Below are 795 nucleotides of genomic sequence, written 5' to 3' on the forward strand. Positions count from 1 at the left end.
AGGATTACAGGTGCCGCCACCATGCTCAGCTAATTTTTGTATTTTTTGTAGAGGCGGGGTTTTGCCATACTTGCCAGGCTGGTCTCAAACTCCTGGCCTCAAGAGATTCGCCCACCTCAGCCTCCCAAAATGCTGGGATTACAGGCATGAACCACGGCGCCCAGCCTTATTATTTTTTAGAGACAGGGTCTCACTCCTGTTGCCAAGGCTGCAGTGCAGTGGCTTGATCTTGGCTCACTGCAATCTCCGCCTCCTGGGTTCAATCCATTCTCCTGCCTCAGTCTCCCAAGTAGCTGGGACTACAGGCATATGCCACCATGCTCAGCTTTTTTTTTTTTTTTTTTTTTTTTTTTTTTTTTTTTGGTAAAAACTGGTTTTCACCATGTTGCCCAGGCTAGTCTGGAACCCCTGGGCTCAAGCGACACACCCAGCTCAGCCTCCCAAAGTGCTGGGAATATAGGTATGAATGAGCCACTGCACCCCGCCCTTATTTTATTTATTGAGACAGGGTCTGGCTCTGTGGCCCAGGCTGGAGTGCAGTAGCACGATCATAGCTCACTGCAGCCTGGAGCTCCTGGACTCAAGTGATCCTCCCAACTCAGCCTCCCAAAATACTGGGATTACAGGCATAAAACCACTACATCGGGCCATCTCCCATTTTTAAGCTCCATCTGCGTCACTAGCTGATGGGAGTCATCATGACCCAGGTTGGAGGAGGCAGTCTGTGGCCCTGGGTTTTCAGGGACAGCCGTCTCTTGGGTGGTGCAGGGTCAAAAACAGATGAATACCCAGGGG

This window comes from Homo sapiens, chromosome 19 (genome assembly GCF_000001405.40).
Source record: "Homo sapiens chromosome 19, GRCh38.p14 Primary Assembly".
Taxonomy (NCBI): Eukaryota; Metazoa; Chordata; class Mammalia; order Primates; family Hominidae; genus Homo; species Homo sapiens.